At 37.7% G+C, this 23173-nt stretch overlaps 1 long non-coding RNA gene across 19 annotated transcripts in view; it reads left to right on the top strand.

Moving 5' to 3' along the window:
• Positions 1-23173, top strand: part of SLC12A2-DT (SLC12A2 divergent transcript) — a 142736-nt gene that overhangs the window by 15026 nt on the left and 104537 nt on the right. For 8 of the 19 annotated variants that reach the window (NR_152813.1, NR_152804.1, NR_152802.1 and 5 more), the window contains one exon: positions 6906-7006. The exons of 1 other annotated variant lie outside the window; for it this stretch is intronic. This is a non-coding gene — a long non-coding RNA (SLC12A2 divergent transcript). Of the gene's footprint in view, positions 1-3299; positions 3414-5649; positions 5777-6905; positions 7007-7505; positions 11143-23173 lie in introns of those variants that run through there. 10 more of the 19 variants (NR_152809.1, NR_152805.1, NR_152799.1 and 7 more) reach the window with 5 other exon arrangements.

Here is a 23173-nt window from a genome sequence, read left to right as displayed (position 1 = left end):
TTTATTATTACTGTTATTTGAGATAGAGTCTCACTCTGTTGTCCAGGCTGCAGTGCAGTGGCGCTCTTTTCTCGCTGCAACCTCCACCTCCCAGGTTCAAGCGATTCTCTATCCTCAGCCTCCTGAGTAGTTGGAACTACAGGCGTGTGCCACCACACCAGGCTAATTTTTGTATTTTTAACAGAGATGGGGTTTCACCATGTTGGCCAAGCTGATCTCGAACCCCTGACCTCAGGTGATCCACCTGCCTCGGCCTCCAGAAATGTTGGGATTACAGCTAACTGTACACTGTGCCTAGCCAAATTCTGGGATAATTTTAAAACATTTTGGACTGTAGTAATAAAATTTTATAGAACATGATATAGTTTATGCATCCACCAAAGAAAATGTCAAGTTACCAAATTAGTTAGAAGATGACTGTAGAGTAAGTTATCACTTACCTGGCCCATACCATAAATCAGTCCTTCTGCATATCAGAATTTTTTAAATAGCTGAGTAATAATTTTTTAAACGTTAAGATTTTAAATTGCCTTTAGAAATCCCTATGAGGTGATGTAACTATTATTTCCTCCACCCTTTAAGATAATACTGAAAATATTTTAGCACTTGGCTCAGATGAACTTTTGAAATGATATAACTATTATAAAATCTGAAGGCCGCTATAGATACAAATTTAGATTATTGGATCACAGTGCTCCATGATTCTCTTGTGTTTCTCTATATCTTGTAATTAGAGGCATTGACTTTGTTCCAAACTATCTTTTCTTAAATATTTGTAATTTGTAATAGCAAACAGCCTTGGAAGATTGAGATAATGTCTCCCTGCAGAGCAAAGAGCAGGTGTGCTTACTGTCCATTATAAAAGATTTGGGTGCCCTAAGCTCATTATCCTCTCCTGTAACACAGCTACTGTGCATGCTGGTGTCACCTGGCTCTCTTCTTATTACCTGGTGGAAATTAGGGCATAAGGAATTGGTACTAATGCTGATGTTCTGATGACTGCTATTGCTGTAAATAACAAAGTCCTTTGTTTCTTACACTGGGTTATCCTGTCTCCCACTAGCATCCATGAAATTGTAGCAAGCTAATTTATTGGTCTGCAAGGAGGGGAAAACTCTCAGACCTTTACAGGTCTTGGCAAGATGATATAGGAGAGTCATCAGCAAACTTTTTCTGTACAGGGCCAGATCGATAATACATGGTCTCTGTCACATATGTTTCTTTAATTTTTTTTCAACCCTTTAAAAATGTAAAGCCCTTTCTTAGCTTACAGGCCATCTGAAACCAGTCTTTGGGTTATATTTTGTGCATGGGATATAGGTTGCCAGCCTCTAATGTAGATCACAGGATCAAATGACTATTCACCTCCCCCAGGAAGTTCCCCAGAACTTCTCTCAAAATTATAATGGCTTGCTTTTCAAACATGCTTTTCTCATGACTATAATAAAATGAAACACGTATTGTTGCATGTCTGCTTGAAAATAAAATATGACTGCAAAATTAATTAGATAATAAAAAGAAACAGTAGTATCTTCCTAAGTGATTTTTATATAACCTCAAGATAATTCAGAGGGCAAAATGCAATTAAAATTGCATCCAAAAAGAAAACAAGAAAGGAAGACAATATAAACAGAAAGCACTTCATAAAATGGTAGATTTAAATACAAACATATCAATAACTACATTAAATGTAAAAGAAGAAAATACTTCATTAAGTGACAAAGTCAATGCTGTACTGTTTACAAGCATGATGTTTAAATTGTGATACTCCAGACAGAGAGGAAATCTGGCCAAACTCATCCTTTTATTAGGAACCCACTCCAGTGATAACTAACCCACTCCCATCATAATGGCTTTGATCTATTCATAAGGGCTCTGCCCTCTTGACCTAATCGCCTCTTAAAGACCCCACTTCATAACACTATTACAATTGTAACTACCCAGTGGGTTCATTTTGCCCGCTGTCCAGATAGAGCCTATTATCAAGACATGGGAATTGTAATAGAGAGTTTAATACATGTTAGATCAAGCTAAACAGGAGGCAGGAATTTTATTATTACTTAAATCAGCCTCCCTGAAAATTCGGAGGCTATTTGAGGATAGTTTGACAGGCAGGGGTTTAGGGATTAGGAAATGCTGATTGGTTGGAGATGCAATCATAGGGGTGTGGAAAGCAGCCCTCCTGCACTGTGTCTGCTTCTGTGTGGGGGCCATATGACTGGTTGAATCCCGAATTGCAGGTCCAGATGGGGCTATCTGGTAGTCAGAAGTGCAAAAGCCTGAAAAGACATCTCAAAAAATCAATACAGGAGTAATGGAAGAAGTTAATAAATTTCTTGACTTCTGGAATAATGGCTGGTAATCATTTATACCTGTATTTTAGCAGGATTCAGGCCCCTCTCATCTTCCTAATCTGGTGGCCTTTCATTAGTTTTATAAAGGTGGTTTAGTTTTGGGGAAGTGTTATTTTCATTTAAACTATAAATTAAATTTATCCCAAAGTTAGCTTGGCCTACACCCAGGAATGATCAAGGACAGTTTGAGGTTAAAGGCAAGATGGCGTTGGTTAGCTCAGATCTCTTTCACTGTCATAATTCTCTCAGTTATAATTTTTGCAAAGGCAGTTTCACAATGGCAATTAAATTTCAACATGAGTTTTGGCAGGGACATTCAAACCATATCAGCAAACTATAAGGTAAAAGCATTTGTAAAAATAAAATGTATGCTTCATAATGACAAAAATACTAAGCCACCATGAGGGTATAAAATGTATGTGTATCTAATTATATAGCATCAACATATACAAAGCATTACTCTGAACTGGGTCATGTGCACACTATGAGGACTCGCTATGGATGAGAAGAGTCAGGGTCAGCCTTACCAGGACCTCACAGCATAGGAAATAATGATTCTCCAAAGGGATGGATGCTGGTAAACAAACTGAACCGCATCATGAAGTCCTTTTCATTTTATCATCTTCATCTATAGCAGTGCTTTTCAGCTTAGGCTGCCTTATAGAATCAATTAGTGATCTTTTTAAAAATACTGATGCAGAGACCTTCCCTAGACCAATTAAATCAGAATCTTGGAGGAAGGGAGGAGGGCCTTGATATTATTGTTTAAGCTCTCCAGGTGATTTTAATGTGCTGTTTCAGTGTTGAGAAGCCCTGAGTTACTATGTAAATCTCGAGGTAATATTTAGGGCAGTAAATAGCAAAAATGTTTATAGATATTAATCTGTTTTTCCATGTGAGTTTTGTAGTTACCCAACATAAAAACTGTTGTTTTTTAAATTACAGATCATTACAACCTGTGGTTCCAATTAAAGATTTTAAAGAGAAGAGTTTAATCCTGCAACAATTGGTTAGCCCTTCTTAATTTAGAGGTACCTTTACAAGTTCTTGATCACCAAGGTAATCAAAGTTAAGTTAGCTACATTACCACGTGAAAAACAATCAGCTGGTTCACACAACTGCTTTAAACTTATAGGAAATTGATTCATTAGCATTTCCTAGATTAGAAATTGGCCAACACCATTATCAACAATATAGGTGATAGATGGTGCTCTACAAGGAATTTTCTGAAAGATACCTACTTTCTCATTAGTTATAACTACATTTTAAATGCTATCTCTTTCTCAAAAGCCAAAGCTACCCTTCTGGAAGTACAAAGAATCAGACTTCAGGCAGGACTGTCATGTGATGTCGTGTCAAGTTCTGTAACTTCAGATAACTCAACTTGCAATGGCAACAGCCATTTCTGAGTTCTAACACCACTTTAGTAAATAGATGCTAATATTGTACTAATAGATGCAATATTGGGTTAATCCAATATGTTATGCTCACCCTTTGTAAGGAGTAAAAATGGCCATTCTCTTTTTTTTTTTTTTTTTGAGACGGGGTCTTGCTCTGTTGCCCAGGCTGGAGTGCAGTGGCACGATCTCAGCTCACTGCAAGCTCTGCCTCCCGGGTTCATGCCATTCTCCTGTCTCGGCCTCCCAAGTAGCGGGGACTATAGGTACCCGCCACCACCCCTGGCTAATTTTTTGTATTTTTTAGTAGAGACGGGGTTTCACTGTGTTAGCCAGGATGGTCTGGATCTCCTGACCTCATGATCCGCCTGCCTTGGCCTCCCAAAGTGCTGGGATTACAGGCGTGAGCCACTGCGCCTGATCTTTTTTTTTTAGACCGGGTCTTGCTCTGTCACCCAGGCTGGAGTACAGTGAGGTGAACATGGCTTACTGCAGGCTCAAGTGATCCCCCTGCCTCAGTCTCCCAAGTACCTGGGATCACAGGCATGCACCACTACACCCAGCTAATTTTTAAAAATTTTTTGTAGAGACAGGATCTCACTTTGTTGCCCAGGCTGGTCTCAAGCTCAAGTGATCCTCCTGTCTCAGCCCCCCAAAGAGCTGGGATTACAGGCGTGAGCCACCATGCCCAGCCCATTCTCTCTTTTAATGTTAGTATAACTATACATTTGTAAGCAGGATCATGGCATAGTGAAAAGTAACTTTTAGGATCAGATATGCCTGGAATTAAATTCCATTTGCTATTTATCAACTGTGTGGTCTTGAGCAGGTTAACCTGTTAGTGCCTCACTTTCCTCCACTGTAAAATAAGAATACAACCCATCTTGCAGTGTTGTGAGGATTAGGAATGACAGCTATCAATCTTCTGCCATTTTGCTTCAGAATTTTACAAAATTATACAAGTAAAAAAATGAGTAAATATATTCTCCTTACAAACAAATTTAGAATTACAAAATATGAAATTACTTGCTGACCCTATCCCTTCCCATCTTGCCAGTAGTAACCACTAATGTTAGTTTGGTGCATACTGATAGACTAAATATACAAACGGACAAGGACCAGACCATATATGTCAATAGAACTCGGACACACAACCTCTGCAGCAACCAGCCTGGGAAGCCAAACCACAAGCTCTGATACAATTGGTTCTGAAGTGTCAGTGCTTGGTCAATGACTGTCAGCTTTTAACTCAGGACCAACCAGACAAAGCCAAATGTACTCCCCAAACCAATCACATAAGATGGCTCACTTGTAATTACCCACCTCTAGCTTCCCAAACCAAGTTTCCAATTGTAGCATTTGTGAATCTTCCCTCTTTTCACTATAAAGCTTTTCATTTCTGCTTTGGCTGCCTGTGAGTATCTGCCAAACACAAGCGATGGTGTTTGACTCCCTTGTTTTAGTAAGCAATGAATAAATAGCCTCTGATTGTTCTCATTTTGGGTGGTCTCTGTTTATTTCCATGGTATGGTTCCAGTCTTTTTATTGTGGAAATATAGATGGACATTTATATGTGTATATCCCTGGGAAATATATACCATTTTGTGGACTTTTAAAAGCAAAAATGTTACACGTATTGATTTATATCTTGTTTTTTTTCTCAAAAATATCCAGGAAATCTATGCATGTTAATTCATCTTGATTATTTTAACTGGAGGGAGGTAGTAATATCTGTCTTGGTGTCTTTAACACAGCTCTGTGGTGCTGCCTACTTCAGTGCTTGCTTTCCTGTCTATGTCTATCACAGAGACGTTCTTTTTACCTTTACACCCCCATCCTACTTCCCTTTCACCTGCATCCCCAGCTTACTCCTTTACTACGTATCCTTTGAACTGCAGTCGATTCACCATGATCTTGGCTGGCTGTCTTCTTCCTTCATGGCTGCTAGTAATGACAATTCAGTGGCTGTTTCTTCAGCTGTGCAAAGTTGGAACATGTTTGGGAGTTCAACGGCATTGGTTTCTGGTTGGTAAATGTCCTGTTTATTGCCTGTTCAATTTCCTCATTACTGACTGTGAGAAATTACAAGTCTTATTCATGCTGGATTCTTTTACCTTGAGTCAGTTTTCAGTTGTATGTAAGAAATTTTTTCCAATGAATTAAACATACCAACCTTAGAAACTGGCTTGTGAAGGAAGTAAAATAAAGTCAAATGCTTCATTTATCTTTGCTTTTACCAAATAATTTAGGTAAACTTTGCAGTCACCCAAATAATGTCCCTCCTGGTAAATACCAAAACATTCAGAATTAGGACACCTGATGGTAAGGACTAAGAAGAATCACTTTTAAGATCTGCCCATTTGCATGGGCTGCTAAAGCCTCTAGACCATGTAAGAACAATTTAATGAAGTGATACTAGTGTAGACTCTGGGATAATATAGCTTGCATGTGTTTTTTGTTGTTGTTGTTTTGTTTTGTTTTGAGACAGGGTATTGCTCTGTCTCCCAGACTGGAGTGCAGTGGTGTGATCTTGGCTCACTGCAACCTCCGCCTTCTGGGTTCAAGCGATTCTTGTGCCTCAGCCTCCAGAGTAGCTGGGATTACAGGCATGTGCCACCACACCCAGCTAATTTTTGTAGTTTTAGTAGGGACAGGGTTTCACCATGTTGGCCAGGCTGGCCTCATGTGATCTGTCTGCCTTGGCCTCCCAAACTGCTGGGATTATAGGTGTGAGCCACCGTGCCTAGCCTAACCTGATTTGAATCCTCATTCCTCTGGTTTAATGAACTTGGGCAAATTTTATAACTTCTTTGAGTCTAAGTTTTCTCATGTTTTTAATGAAGATGAAATTACTTACCTTTGTAAGTAATGTTTGTTGGAGAGGAAAATCTTTTCCTCTACCCTCTTAGGTTCAGTTCTTGAGGGCCTGGGAATTAAACTTAGACAAAACATAGATTTTTATTCACGCAGGAGCACACAGAAAAATGTGACTCTAAACAACTAAAGATGGGGGTTTATATACCTAATAGGGGAGAGGTTACTTAATGGGGGAGAAGAAGGGGGGAGTAAAGCCCTCTATGTAGGGAAGAACAAATGAGTATTTAGGGGAAGAAATGAAAAAGAAGAAGGTTTGTGATAATGTTTGTTTATGCAGGTGCAAGCGGTCTTCTCTGTCTTCTTTATGGCCAGTAAAATTCTCCAGAAGAGATTTATGGCAGCCTCACTCCCAGTAGTTTCTGCATTTAGTGAGATAAGGTAAGTTCTGAGAAGGCTTTTTTCTGCATCTGTTGAATTTCAAATGTCTTTAGAATAATCTTTATATCAACTCTGGGGGTCTCAGTGAGTTCCCACAGGTTGTTGTGAGAATAACTAAGGTAATATGGCAAAACTGTTAAGTTAGCACTCCATAAATATTTGCTTTTATTATTATTTGAAAACTAGTCTTTCTGCCTTGATGCCAGTAGCAGATGGGAAATTATGGTGATTTTTATTTCTAACATTGATCCATTTTACAGATCAGCCAGTCTGCTTAATTCCTGGGTCAGCATTTCCTATGCAGTTACCCAAGTGCTGATTCATTGCTTTTTCTCATATTCAATTAAACTCCCCATCTAACTTTTCCAAATCAATTTCTTCCTGACTGTTGACTTAGAATTCATTGCAGTTGTCCTAAATAATTTGAGCAACTCAAGAAAATTAACATCTGCTGAGATCTGTTTCTACCTTTCCTAAGTTTCTCTTCATTCCCTTTCAGTACCCTGGGATGTCACTCAAGTCTCTTTTTAAACCTATATCCACTTCACCTCATTTGGCTTTTTGCCTATCAGAGGTGAAACAAAAGAGTGAAATCTTTGCTTGTGGAATCCTCTCATGTCATCAATTGTTTATAAATGTTTAGTATTTAAAGGACCACTAAGGGCCAGTGGGGAAAATGAATCTTATGGATGGATATCATCATTTTTTGCTACTTAATAATGTTATGGACTTTCAAATGAGATTTCTGTAACTGGAATGAGAAAAATCCTAATAAGTTTAGGATGGGTCAGAAGATTTGTGCAATGGAGTGAATGCTTGTGTGCTTCCCAAATTTCGTATGTTGAAACTATAATCCCAATGTGATAGTAGTTGATGGAAGGGCCTTTGGACAGTGGAGCCCTCATGAATGGGATTAGTGCTCTTAAAAGAAGAGACCAGAGAGCTAGCTAGCTGTCTTTCCACCATATGAGGGTGCAATGGGAAGCTGGCAGTCTGCAACCAGAAGAGGACCCTCACCAGTCCCTCACCGTTCTAGCACCGTGAACTCAGACTTCAGTCTCCAGAACTGTGAGAAATAAATTTCTATTGTTTATGTCACCCAGTTTATAGTACTTTGTTATAGAAGCTCAAATTGACTAAGATAATTTGGATATTAGGTTATATCGCTTGCAGGAGGTATGTAACTTCTTGAAACATGTAAACTCTCTGTGTTGTGTTCTGCTGCCTAAATCCACCAGATAAATATTTGGTTTACTTTGCTTGGGAAAACTGTTACTCAAATGTTCTCTGTACAAATGCAGGAGAGTAAAATTATTTCCCCATTTTATATCAGTAATTGCTATTTTATTTGTCAGTAAGTGTTTCATTATGATTTAAACAATTGGTATAAGTATATTAATATAATTATTTACTAGTTGCTAAAAATATATGCTGCATCTTATGAAAATACATTTAAAAAACACTCGAATGGGTCATTTGACATGAAAGCATCATTCGATTTAGAATTCAGAGACTAAGTTGCCAAAAGAGGAAAATATTTAATACCATTCCCTGAAGGCTAGTAAGTTTATAATTAGCAGGATCACCAGAGGGAGTAAATTTAGAGCTGAAAACCACTCACTGATTCTGTAGTATACTTGAATAAAATAAGGTCACTGTCCATGTAGCTGGCCAAATAGCTTGGCACAATATGGAAGAAGGAACTAGTTTGGCAGCCTTGGGAAATATGATTATTATAAAAAATTTTAATATTTTTAATTAAACAAACCATCAATTCATTTTAAAACCAGGATATTTCCTCATTTGATTAAGTTTTTCATACTAGAAAATTAGAATTGTGACTATGTGTATCAGAATAGAGATGAACTTTAGGCTCTTTTTGATATGGAATTTGTTCCTGGTTTACTGGCAGCTATTTCAAGACTTGGGGTTCTAGAAGACCTTTTTCTTAAGTTTTCTCTATCTCCTAGGAAAGACGTTGAACCCTAAAATGTCATTTAAAAGAGTGCCAACTCAAATTAGAACATCATTTACAATAAAAGACAGTAGGTAAGGTTTACAGCTGTAATTAACTGGTAATTCAGGATAGGAAGCACAAATTTTTCTAAACTATCAAAGATAATTAAGAGGTTATGGACTCAGCCTGAATTATCCCAGTGGTTCACTGTACAATTCAAATATACATGGTGACTCTAACTCCATACTTATAATTTTAAGGCTTATTTTGGAAAAAAATGCCTTTGCAAGCTTTGAGATACATTACTTAAAGCTGCAGAGCCTCTTCTTGAAGACCACTGAAGCTAACTAGCATATATTTCCTGGCTTGATGAGGTCTTCAAGAGCCTGATGATTATTCCTAGGTTCACGTATTATACACAACTAACCATTTGTCCCATAGCACCTTATTTTCTCCAGCTAACAGATTAATAGTCTGAAAAATCTGTTCTCTTAATTGAACAACTGTCTCTCTCAGAACTCACTGGGATAAAGCCAATTGTCCACAAGACAGACAAGTCAGGAAGGGGCCTGACTTCTGAATGACTGATGATCCATATCTTAGCAAAGAGAGTTTGACATAAAAGGGTCTCATGAACTCTAGGTAAGGCAGGTAGCTAACCTTGAAAGCCTGATCAGAAGTGACACCTGGATGGCCTGTCTCTACTGGCCTGCTATTCAAGGGGAGAGGTGAGGCAAGAGCCCAGTAAGGAGGCCTGGCAAAGGTGAGGCAAGATTCATTTCTCTTGGGGTATCGGAATAGAATGAAAAACAGGACCAAGGCAGAAGCTCAGTTAAACAAACCAGTGCCACAGACTCAACCAAGATTGAATTCTGTTACCACAGACGCCAAGGAGCCACACAGAACTCCTCTCCAGCTTCCCCAAACCTGCTTTTCTGCCTTTCCCATTTCAGTAAATGGCACCACCGTCCATTTTCCCCAGGTCTCCCATGCTAGACATGTTACTTTTTTTGTCTCTTAGCTCCAAATATCTGCTGTAGGCTTTCATAATAAAGTTTGACTGCATATTAAAACTGTAGCAAAAACACTGGCAGACTAAAAGCTGATTTCATTTCCTTAAAGGTAAAAAGAACTTAGTTTTACAAATATGGGACCCATCTCCACACTTTGAAGGGGGTCGGAAATATTTGTTTTATGTCCTGAGGTTACAAATAAGGGGTGATGCTCCTCCTCATAGATTTATTAGAATCTCCCTTCTAATACTAAAAATAAAAGGGAAAATTCCATATTAAAACAGGCTAATTGTTTATATCCAGCAGACAGATACCGGCTGGAAAACCTTTATTTTTGAAGGAAAGTACTTATGTAATTTCTAAACATAAGAAAAATAATGGGCTTTGCTCTCTTTTTTTGCTGGTTAGTTTTGCTAATTACTTGAGCCTTCTGGCAAGAACATTGAAATGATAATTTTATCAGTTTAGTCACTTTTTGTCATATGTGAAAAATGAGTTACTGACATTTGTCAATCAGTCTTTGCCTTATTCCTCTGGTTGGTGTGAAACAAAGTGGTGCAGAGAATTTTAGACTGTTGCTACCATTTGTACTCCAAATGATAGCATATTCCTGATTTTCAATAACCAGATAAGGATGGACTTTTCTTGCCTGTGCCACCAAATATCATTCCTAATAAAACACCAAAGTTTATCATCTTGTGATAAACATAGAGAAACTCTATTCAAGATAGGTGCACATCTACTTGTAATTAGAATTAGTTAATGAGACTAAGCATTCTAAATGTCCTGCTTCACAGCAGGTACTATGGGGAATTGAGTTCATTTGGTAATATATTTTGATTTTGTCTGATTTCTAATAAGACTGATGAACTATCCCCTAAACATTTTTATTAGCACATAGTATGTGTCAGCTCTTGGGGTTGATACCATGAAGAGTAAGATACAATCTCACTACCTAGAAATGAGTCTACCCAAATAGAGACTCTTTTTAATGCTTTCAACCCATAAAAACATTTTTGGGGGGATTCTACTGAAGAAGCAATGGAGACATCCATTGGAGGTTAACAGTATTCCTTTGAGTGGTGTGATTAAAGGTGCTTTTATATTTTCCAAGTTTTTAGTTTGTTTGTTTTGCAGAAAATGTATTTAATGTTCTATAAGTGGGAAAATAAAGATTTTTTAAAGTGATAAACAAGGACTTATATTCTTTTTCAGAATAGAATGCTTAGTGAATATTTGTTAAATGAATGAGTATATTTTTCAAATTCTCTAACTTTTTTCCTAGTGTCTTTAAAAACAATAAGCGCATTTATTTTAGGTCTAAATGACTCCCCAAATTTCCTTTAAGGGAGGTATTCTGAAAACTTTATCTTCAACATTTGAAAACCCCTGATGATAAGTAAAGAGCTTGATAAGTTCTGTGGATGTTATATTGTACCCAAAGGATAAAGAAGGTGAATTTATTTTCCCCTTCTCATTTTTAGAACATTCTCAAAATAAACACTATTTGCATGTAGGACATAAATACAGCCTGAGTGTCATCATCTAACCTGAACTAATATGAATTGCTACAGTTTTTCTGAACTATCTTGATGGAATAGATTAGAGAAGAGAATGCAAAAAAAAAATGTCTATCTAAGCTGTAGGGTGTAAAGATAAGTAAATGTAATGAAAAGCAACCTTAAAGTTACTGGAACAATTTGATCTTAATCTACAGATGGAAGATTTCAAAATATAGTCTAGCTTAGATGGCTGGACTATGAGGGCTAATGAGCCCAGTGTTCCAAACTTAGATAGTCCATTCACCTTCTTTATTTTTTTTTAGCCAGTGACTGTGTTGCTAAACTGGTCAAACTTCCTACACAGAGGTTCCATGGTCTTGAGGAAAACGATGTAATAGAAACATGAAACACAATATAATCAGGAGAAAAGAGTTCAAAATATAAGCTTTAATAATAGTGGGTGGGAATGCTTTGACATCAATACTGGGAGCAGATCCAGAGAGGGCTGGTGGTAGTTGTTGGTAAAATTCCAGAGAGTTAACTATATGACATGAATTTTACTAAATTAGGCAATTTATTGAGAAAATAGAACTGGAAATATTTAAGATTTTAACATCATGAGAAAATTGAATGTGAATGATTGAATGATTCGTTTAGCAAGTGTCTTAATTCTACTGAATGGATATATGTCACTGAGACATTTAGAGTCCTGCTGAAGAAACAAGAGACCCACACAACAAACTAAATAAAAGGTGTATTAAATGCCTTTTATGAACCAGTCAAGTCCTCTTTCTGCCATGTCTTGCTCTAGAAGCTGCTATAATAGGTTTGGACCAGCATCTTGTTGATACAACTGGACAACAGTCACCTAAGCCCCAAACATTTACCTACAACTTCCCATGTCTTTGTTTTTTATTTGCTTGTCTCTTGCCTGTGCAGAACTTCTCTAATGCCGTGGTGGAGGCCAGAAGAACGCTCAGACACACACATGTGCAATCAGGAAGTGCAGGGGAGGTATTGCCAGTAGGGTCATCTTTAATCAATGGAGGCCAAGAACTCATAAATAAATATTTTTTCTTTTCACCTCTCAGGTGGATTTTCTGAGATGAATTTCGTAAGACTCATTATAAGATCCTGGTGAGACCTAGCATCAGTTACCCATAGTGGTGGCCAATTCAATAAGGCATTTTTGAACTCATTCTCCCTCCTTCTCTGTCCTACTCTCTTATGTCAGTTATGCTTCTTGGGATTATTGCCCAAATAAACTACCAATATGCAAGCCTATGTCTTAGCCTTATTTTGAAAGACTAATGTCAGACCAGGGGAGGGAGAAATCAATGTGATAATGAAGCCATAGCCTAAGAACAGTAATTGCAAAGAGAAGTGAAAAGATAGATTTGAGAGATAGAATCAATATAAGAGGCCGGGCACGGTGGCTCACGCCTGTAATCCCAGCACTTTGGGAGGCCAAACCAGGCAGATCATGAGGTCAGGAGACCGAGACCATCCTGACTAACACGGCGAAACCCCGTCTCTACGAAAAAATACATAAATTAGCCGGGCGTGGTGGCTGACGCCTGTAGTCCCAGCTACTTGGGAGGCTGAGGCAGGAGAATGGCGTGAAACTGGGAGGCGGAGCTTGCAGTGAGCCAAGATTGTGCCACTGCACTCCAGCCTGGGCAACAGAGCGAGACTCTGTCTCCAAAAAAAAAAAAAAAGAAAAGAAAAGAATCAATATAAGAATGATAGGACTTAGTAATGAAACAATGAAGACTGACAATAATCTGCTCAGATGGTCCAATAATGAGTTCTATCCTAGATGAGGCCATAACTTTAGTGGGATGCCCAGTAGGCAATTGGAGCTAAGATGCAGGAATCAAGTGACAGTTGAAACCTTGAGGATAAATGAGTTCTTTTTTTTTTCTTTGAGAAGTGAGTTCAGTGGCACGATCACAGCTCACAGCAGCCTTGACCTCTAGGGCTCAAACGATCCTCCCACCTCAGCCTCCTGAGTAGCTAGGACCACAGATACGTGCCACCACTCTTGGCTAATTTTTTTTTAAAAAACATTGTAGAGATAGAGTCTCCCTATGTTACCTAGCCTGGTCTTGAATGCCTTGGCTCAAGTGATCTTCCCATCTCAGCCTCCCGAGATGCTGGGATTACGGGTGTGAACCACCATGGCAGGCCATGAATGAGTTCTTGAGAAAGAAGACTTTATGAAGAGATGACCAATGGGCTATAGACTGAATTTCAGACAATGGTCAGATTTCAGAAGTCCAGAGGAAAAAGAAAGGACAGCTACTGAGCACTCAGGAAAACAGACAAGTTTAGAGCTATGTGTAATGGTGGATGAGTGGGAAGAACATACAGTTCCATTCCACCATCAGGTTAGAGACCAGAATGAATAGGCTCAAGATGGAAATAAAGAATAGACAAGTGAAGAGATGGAGACAGTAATGGAGATGGTTTACTGAGCAGACGAATGCAGAGGGAGATAGTTCACTCTTGACAAGTAACAAGCTTGTTAATAATGAACTAAAGGAGAAAAGTTAGAAGCATGTAGATCCGAGTATGGTCATTTTTGTCAGGATTTAAAAAATGGAAATAAAAACGAATGGAGAGAACTTTCATAGAAAAAAATCCTAATTTTAAAATTTTCAAATAAAATTTGCTGAAATTAATCATCGATTACATAGAAAATCTAATATGTATCTTACTTTTACACACTTATGCATTTTTTATACATAAGAACACTTATTTTTAAAAAAGATGAACACTCTTCTCTAAGATGTTGGTCCACAGAACAGCATTATTGAAAAGTAACTCTCTTCCAGAAAATATTGGAAGAATTCCACTTGAATAAATATTGCATAACTCAGTGCCTACTTTTACATACCCATATTTGTGTTAAGCTAATCCTAGTTTCTAAAAAAAGGTTGTTGTACTGTTGAAAAGCATTTCTGAAATACTGCCAACCCCATCTTGTGATTGAAGTTTTTTGGTATAAAACAGGTTAGGGGGTGAGATGCCAAGCAGGTATTTAGAGAGAGAGTTTGAATTTGATTTTTTTATATTTGAATAAATCATGGTTTAGATCCCCAACCCCCAGGCTGCAAACCCTTGATCTGAACTGGGAGTCCCCAACCCCCTGCTGGTCCATGGCCTGTTAGGAACTGGGCCACACAGCAGGAGGTGAGTGGGGGCGAGTAAGCAGTACTGCCTGAGCTTGGCTCCTGTCAGATCAGCAGTGGCATTAGATTCTCGTAAGAGTGTGAACCCTATTGTGAACTTTGCATATGAGGGATCTAGGTTGTACGCTCCTTATGAGAATCTAATGCCTAATGATCTGAGGTGGAACAGTTTCATCCTGAAACCATCCCCTGCCCCTCCTGTCATGGAAAAATTGTTTTCAATGAAACCGGTTCCTGGTGCCAAAAAGGTTGGGGACTTCTGGTTTAGACAATCTGTTTCTGCAAAAATGTTTTCAATATGCAATCTGGTCATTTTCCACTTTTTCCATTGAATATTTTCTTTCTGGTCATTTTTAACCATCTACTTTAAATATAGATGACATTTTATCATAGTGTGCTTAGATTTTAGCATCCATTATCCTTCCAGGGTGTGTTTATTATCTGTTGGACTTTCACTTTGGATTAAACAATTACTATATGAGTGAAATTTGAGACAGTGACTAGCTGCCCAGAGAATGAGTGAGCCTTATAAACTAAGTATTGTTTATTTAATGCCTTGTTATAAACCTTTTGTTTATCCACATAATATAACTGTGACAATCAAACTATAATTTACAGAAGGTTTTTTTCTTGTTTTACATTCTCATGACTATCATATCTGGTTTCAATTGATATTAAGCAATGGATGAGTTCTCTGTTGCTTTTTAACTTTTTTATCAATAAGGAACTTGGATTTCTTGTGCATTAAGAACAAAGACTACGTAGGCACCAAGATGAGGAACAAGAAAAAATTAGGACAAATAAAGATTCACACCAAAAAGAAAATTAAAATAATATATGAAATATTTGTCAATCTGCAAGTTGAGTAAGCAAAACTAAAAGATATAAAAGTTTAAAAACAACAGAGAACTCATCCATTGCTTAATATCAATTGAAACCAGATATTATGATAGCCATGAGATCGTTTTTAAAAGGAGGGAATAAAACGTTTTGCAATTCTATCAGAGAGAATGTTGACATTTTTGTTTACATGATACTATAATTTTTTGGTATGCCTATATATAAATAATTTAAAACATAAATGGTATCATTTGGGAAGGTTAGCAAATAACCTTCCCAAACTTGCTTTTTTCATAACATCTATTATATACGTGTAATCCTACCCTAATATTCTCCTATAATATGATTGATATTGGGCACATAATGGATGTACTAGTCCTCTACTGTTGAATGTTTAGAGTGTTTCCAGTGCTGTGATGAATAGCTGTATAGTCAAATCTTTCCCAATTTCTTAACTAACCCTTTAGGATATAGCACTATGTTATTTCTTTATTAGATAAAACTCTTATTTTCAAGCAACAGAAACCCCCTTGAGCTTAACAAATATATTAGAAAAACACAGGAATATCTTGAGGAATCAAAGGACAAAGATGGAGCTGGAAACATTCTCTTGACTTCTATGTATGCTCCTCTCTGCATTTCTGATTCATTCCCTTCCTCTTAACCAACAGTTTTCCTCTGCTTCTTACTACATTGATGAAAACATGGCCAAGACTGCTCCCAAGTTTATATGTCATAGGTCCAGTTATCCTGAGAAAAACAAAATCAATCCCAATTCTTTCTTAGCTCCCTTCCCCACTCACTATTCCAAATTTTCAGAATTATCAGATGTTCACCTTGGCACAATCATCTGGGTCCAAGGGCTGATGTTTGATGAACATGGCTGCCACGTTTTAACCTATGGCCATGCAAGTGATCAGGAGAGGCTGTTCAGAAGTAAAGGAGAGGATGGACAAACAACCTATAAATACTATCACATTCTCATCACTTACACTCATTCTTTTGGAGATATTTGTTGCAATAAATTGGTACAGTTAAACTAGTAAAAGGAAATTCTTTTTGGTTCATTCATTAGTGAGGATAGTTTTTTCTAAGATTAAATTTGCTTTATCTGACAGTGGGCTGTAACTCCTTCCTGTGTTTTTGAACTATGGATCTACAAAAGAGATATCATCTGTCAAAAGCACTCTAGTTTGATTCAACTGGAAAATTATCTATTTTCTTTTTTTTATATAGATGTATTTTATTATACTTTAAGTTCTAGGGTACATGTGCACAACATGCAGGTTTGTTACATATGTATACATGTGCCACATTGGTGTGCTGCACCCATTAACTCGTCATTTACATTAGGTATATCTCCTAATGCTATCCCTCCCCCAAAACCATAATAGAAAATTATATGATAGAAAAAGGTCTTAAAATTTGTTGATTGTTCTCAACTAAACTTACTTCTGTGTAACATCATCTTTCTCACATAATAAATTTTATGGTTATTATAGGAAAAGTAATTCTAGTGTTTAAGAAAGGACATTAATTTTTACAGAGAATAAATCATAACCAACTTAAAGTAAATCTGAATTTTCTATGGATGCTCATTTTACAACTAGAAATGTTTCCACAGGAGAGTAAAATCTTCCAGTCAAGCACATTAAAAACTTGTGGAGGGAAAGGAATTAATAGGATAGAAGGCCCAAGGCAAATCAGGTGTTATAGAATTTCATTGGTTTTCTGTTTTCTAGAAATGCCTACATTGTTACATAAGACTGGAATCTCTACATTTTGTCAGTTCTCCTATTCTCTAATGTAATAGTTATCTAAGGCTGCATAACAAATTGCCCCCAAATTTAGCAGCTTATATGACAATCGACATTTATCACACACAGTTTCTCATGGTCAGGAATCCAGGAGGGAGTTAGCTGGGTGGTTCTGGCTCAGAGTCTTTCATAAAATTGCAGTTAAGCTGTCAGCTGTGGCTGCAGTCATCTGAAGGCTTCAAAACTCACTCATTTGGCTGTTAAAAGGAAGGCTCATTTATTTACAACATGGGCATCTCTATGGGGTTGCTCATGGCACAGGAGCTGGGCTTCCCCCAGAACAGATTATCTGAGAGAGAAGAGGGGATGGAGCAGAAGATACACTGTCTTTTATGGCCTAGTCTTGGGAGTGACAAACCATCACTTCGGCCATTTTCTGTTAGTTGCACAGATCAACCCTAATATAATGTGGGAGGGATTACATAGGATGTGAATACTAAGAGGTGGGAATCATTGGAGGTCATCTTAGGGGTAGGATCCCACATATACCATCATCAGATATTAAAAATTGTTCTCATAACTTGAGATGTATTTACATCTTTAGAACTCTTATTATTTTTCTTCTTGATACTCACAGTAATCTTACAAATCAACTCTAATTTTACAGTTTGAGCACAGAGACTACTTTAAACAAAAACAGGTCAATTTAATATTTATCTGTATTCAAGCTATTGTTCACTCATTCATTCAACAATTAATTATTGAGCTCAGGGCAATGTGCTTTCTTTATTGTACTAATATGTCACCCCTCTGTTGTATCCCCTTCTTTTTATTTTATTTTACTTATTTATTTATTTTTATTATCTTTTTATTATACTTTAAGTTCTAGGGCACATGTGCACAACGTGCAGGTTTGTTACATAGGTATACATGTGCCATGTTGCTTTGCTGCACCCATCAACTTGTCATTTACGTTAGGTAATTCTCCTAATGCTATCCCTCCCCAAGCCCCCTAACCCCCGACAGGTTCCCATGTGTGATGTTCCCCTCCCTGAGTCCATGAGTGAGAACATGTGGTGTTTGGTTTTCTGTCCTTGTGATAGGTTGCTTAGAATGATGGTTTCCAGCTTCATCCAGGTCCCTGCAAAGGACATGAACTTATCTGTTTTTATGGCTGCATAGTATTCCATGGTGTATATGTGCCACATTTTCTTAATCCAGTCTACCATTGATGGACATTTGGGTTGGTTCCACGTCTTTGCTATTGTGAATAGTACTGCAGTCAACATATGTGTGCATGTGTCTTTATAGTAGCATGATTTATAATCCTTGGGTATATACCCAGTAATGGGATCACTGCGACAAATGGTATTTCTGGTTCTAGATCCTTGAGGAATCTCCACACTGTCTTCCACAATGTTTGCACTAATTTACACTGTCACCGACAGTGTAAAAGCGTTCCTATTTCTCCACATCCTCTCCAGCATCTGTTGTTTCCTGACTTTTTAATGATCGCCATTCTAACTGGCATGGGATGTTATCTCATTGTGGTTTTCATTTGCATTTCTCTGATGACCAGTGATGATGAGCATTTTTTCATATGTTTGTTGGCTGCATAAATGTCTTCTTTTGAGAAGTGTCTGTTCATATCCTTTGCCCACTTTTTGATGGGGTTGTTTGTTTTTTTCTTGTAAATTTGTTTGAGTTCATTATAGATTCTGGATATTAGCGCTTTGTCAGTTGGGTAGATTGCAAAAATTTTCTCCCATTCTGTAGGTTGCCTGTTCACTCTGATGATAGTTTCTTTTGCTGTGTAGAAGCTGTTTAGTTTAATTAGATTCCATTTTTCTATTTTGGCTTTTCTTGACATTGCTTTTGGTGTTTTAGTCATGAAGTCTTTGCCCATGCCTATGTCCTGAATGGTATTGCCTAGGTTTTCTTCTAGGGTTTTTATGGTGTTAGGTCTTACATTCAAGTCTTTAATCCATCTTGAGTTAATTTTTATATGCAGTGTAAGGAAGGGATCCAGTTTTAGCTTTCTACATATGGATAGCCACTTTTCCCAGCACCATTTATTAAATAATCTTTTCCCAATTGCTTGTTTTTGTCAGGTTTGTCAAAGATTAGTTGTAGATGTGTGGTGTTATTTCTGAGGCCTCTGTTCTGTTCCATTTGGCTATATATCTGTTTTGGGACCAGTACCATGCTGTTTTGGTTACTGTAGTCTTGTAGTATAGTTTGAAGTCAGGTAGCGTGATGCCTCCAGCTTTGTTCTTTTTGCTTAGGATTGTCTTGGCTCTGTGGGCTCTTTTTGGTTCCATATGAACTTTAAAGCAGTTTTTTCCAACTCTGTGAAGAAAGTCAATGGTAGCTTGATGGGGAGAGCATTGAATCTATAAAATACCTTGGGCAGTATGGCCATTTTCACGATATTGATTCTTCCTATCCATGAGCATGGAATGTTCTTCCGTTTGTTTGTTTCCTCTTTTATTTCATTGAGCAGTGGTTTGTAGTTCTCCTTGAAGATGTCCTTCACATCCCTTGTAAGTTGGATTCCTAGGTATTTTATTCTCTTTGTAGTAATTGTGAATGGGAGTTCACTCATGATTTGGCTCTCTGTCTATAATTGGTGTATAGGAATGCTTGTGATTTTTGCACATTGATTTTGTATCCTGAGACTTTGCTGAAGTTGCCTATCAGCTTAAGGAGATTTTGGGCTGAGACGATGGGGTTTTCTAAATATACAATCATGTCATCTGCAAACAGAGACAATTTGACTTCCTCTTTTCCTAATTGAATACCCTTTATTTCTTTCTCTTGCCTGATTTCCCTAGCCAGAACTTCCAACACTATGTTGAATAGGAGTGGTGAGAGAGGGCATTCTTGTCTTGTGCCAGTTTTCAAAGGGAATGCTTCCAGTTTTTGCTCATTCAGTATGATATTGGCTGTGGGTTTGTCATAAATAGCTCTTAATATTTTGAGATACATTCCATCAATACCTAATTTATTGAGAGTTTTTAGCATGAAGCGGTGTTGAATTTTGTCAAAGACCGTTTCTGCATCAGATAATCATGTGGTTTTTGTCATTGGTCCTTGTTATGTGACTGATTATGTTATTGATTTGTGTATGTTGAACCAGCCTTGCATCCCAGGGATGAAGCTGACTTGATCATGGTGGGTAAGCTTTTTGATGTGCTGCTGGATTTGGTTTGCCAGTATTTTATTGAGGATTTTCACATCAATGTTCATCAGGGATATTGGCCTAAAATTATTTTTTTGTTGTGTCTCTACCAGGCTTTGGTATCAGGATGGTGCTGACCTCATAAAATGAGTTAGGGAGGATTCCCTCTTTTTCTGTTGTTTGGAATAGTTTCAGAAAGAATGGTACCAGCTCTTCTTTGTATCTCTGGTAGAATTCGGCTGTGACTCCGTCTGGTCCTGGATTTTTTTGGTTGGTAGGTTATTAATTATTGCCTCAATTTCAAAGCCTGTTATTGATCTATTCAGAGATTCTACTTCTTCCTGCTTTAGTCTTGGGAGGATGTATGTGTCCAGGAATTTATCCATTTCTTCTAGATTTTCTAGCTTATCTGCATAGAGATGTTTATAGTATTCTCTGATGGTAGTTTGTGTTTCTGTGGGGTCAGTGGGGATATCCCCTTTATCATTTTTTATTGTGTCTATTTGATTCTTCTCTTTTCTTCTTTATTAGTCTTGCTAGTGGCCTATTTTGTTGATCTTTTCAAAAAACCAGCTCCTGGACTCATTGATTTTTTGAAGGGTTTTTTGTGTCTCTATGTCCTTCAGTTCTGCTCTGATCTTAGTTGTTTCTTGCCTTCTGCTAGCTTTTGAATTTGTTTGCTCTTGCTTCTCTAGTTCTTTTAATTGTGATGTTAGCGTGTCAATTTTAGATCTTCCCTGCTTTCTTTTGTGGACATTTAGTGCTATAAATTTCCCTCTACACACTGCTTTAAATGTGTCGCAGAGATTCTGGTACGTTGTGGCTTTGTTCTTATTGACTTCAAAGAACATCTTTATTTCTGCCTTCATTTCATTATTTACCCAGTAGTCATTCAGGAGCAGGTTGTTCAGTTTCCATGTAGTTGTGTGGTTTTGAGTGAGCTTATTAATCCTGAGTTCTGATTTGATTGCACTGTTGTCTGAGATACAGTCTGTTGTGATTTCTGTTCGTTTACATTTGCTGAGGAGTGTTTTACTTCCAACTATGTGGTCAATTTTAGAATAAGTGTGATGTGGTGCTGAGAAGAATGTATATTCTGTTGATTTGGGGTGTAGGGTTCTGTAGATGTCTATTAGGTCTGCTTGGTCCAGAGATGAGTTCAAGTCCTGGATATACTTGTTAACCTTCTGTCTGTTTGATCTGTCTAATATTGACAGTGGGGTGTTAAAGTCTCCAATTATTATTTTATGGGAGTCTAACTCTCTTTGTAGGTCTCTAAGGGCTTGCTTTATGAATCTGGGTGCTCCTGTATTGGGTGCATATATATTTAGGATAGTTAGCTCTTCTTGCTGAATTGATCCCTTTACTAGTTTGTAGTAGCCTTCTTTGTCTCTTTTGATCTTTGTTGGTTTAAAGTCTGTTTTATCAGAGACTAGGAATGCAACCCCTGCTTTTTTTTTGCTTTCCATTTGCTTGGTAGATCTTCCTCTATCCCTTTATTTTTAGCTTACATGCGTCTTTGCACATGAGATGGGTCTCGTGAATACAGCACACTGCTGGGTCTTGAGTCTTTATCCAATTTGCCAGTCTGTGTCTTTTAATTGGGGCATTTAGCCCATTTACTTTTAAGGTTAATATTGTTATGTGTGAATTTGATCCTGTCATTATGATGTTAGCTGGTTATTTTGCCCATTAATTGATGCAGTTTCTTCATAACATCGATGGTCTTTACAATCTGGCATGTTTTTGCAGTGGCTGGTACTGGTTGTTCCTTTCCTTGTTTAGTGCTTCCTTCAGGAGCTCTTGTAAGGCAGGCCTGATGGTGACAAAATCTCTCAGCATTTGCTTGTCTGTAAAGGGTTTTATTTCTCCTTCACTTATGAAGCTTAATTTGGCTGGATATGAGATTCTGGGTTGAGAATTCTTTTCTTTAAGAATGTTGAATATTGGCCCCCACTCTCTTCTGGCTTGTAGGGTTTCTGCCGAGAGATCCACTATTAGTCTGATGGACTTCCCTTTGTGGGTAACCTGACCTTTCTCTCTGGATGCCCTTAAAATTTTTTCTTCATTTCAACCTCAGTGAATCTGACAATTATGTGTCTTGGAGTTGCTCTTCTCGAGGAGTATCTGTGTGGTGTTCTCTGTGTTTCCTGAATTTGAATGTTGGCCTGCCTTGCTAGGTTAGGGAAGTTCTCCTGGATAATATCCTGAAGAGTGTTTTCTAACTTGGTTCCATTCTCCCTGTCACTTTCCGGTACACCAATCAAATGTATATGTGGTCTTTTCACATAGTCCCATATTTCTTGGAGGCTTTGTTCATTTCTATTCATTCTTTTTTCTCTAATCTTGTCTCTTGCTTTATTTCATTAATATGATCTTCAATCACTGATACCCTTTCTTCCACTTGATCGAATCGGCTATTGAAGCTTGTGCATTCATCACGAAGTTCTCGTGCTGTGGTTTGCATCTCCATCGGGTCATTTAAGGTCTTCTCTACACTGTTTATTCTAGTTAGCCATTCATCTAACCATTTTTCAAGGTTTTTAGCTTCTTCATGATGGGTTAGAACATGCTCCTTTAGCTTGGAGAAATCTGTTATTACCAACCTTCTGAAGCCTACTTTTGTCAACTCGTCAAACTCGTTCTCCATCGGTTTTGTTCCCTTGCTGGTGAGGAGCTGCAATCCTTTGGAGGAGAAGAGGCACTCTGGTTTTTGGGATTTT

Source organism: Homo sapiens, chromosome 5 (assembly GCF_000001405.40).
Source record: "Homo sapiens chromosome 5, GRCh38.p14 Primary Assembly".
Classification (NCBI taxonomy): domain Eukaryota; kingdom Metazoa; phylum Chordata; class Mammalia; order Primates; family Hominidae; genus Homo; species Homo sapiens.
Note: the sequence above shows the minus strand (reverse complement) of the source record. Positions and strands in the feature narration are given on the sequence as shown.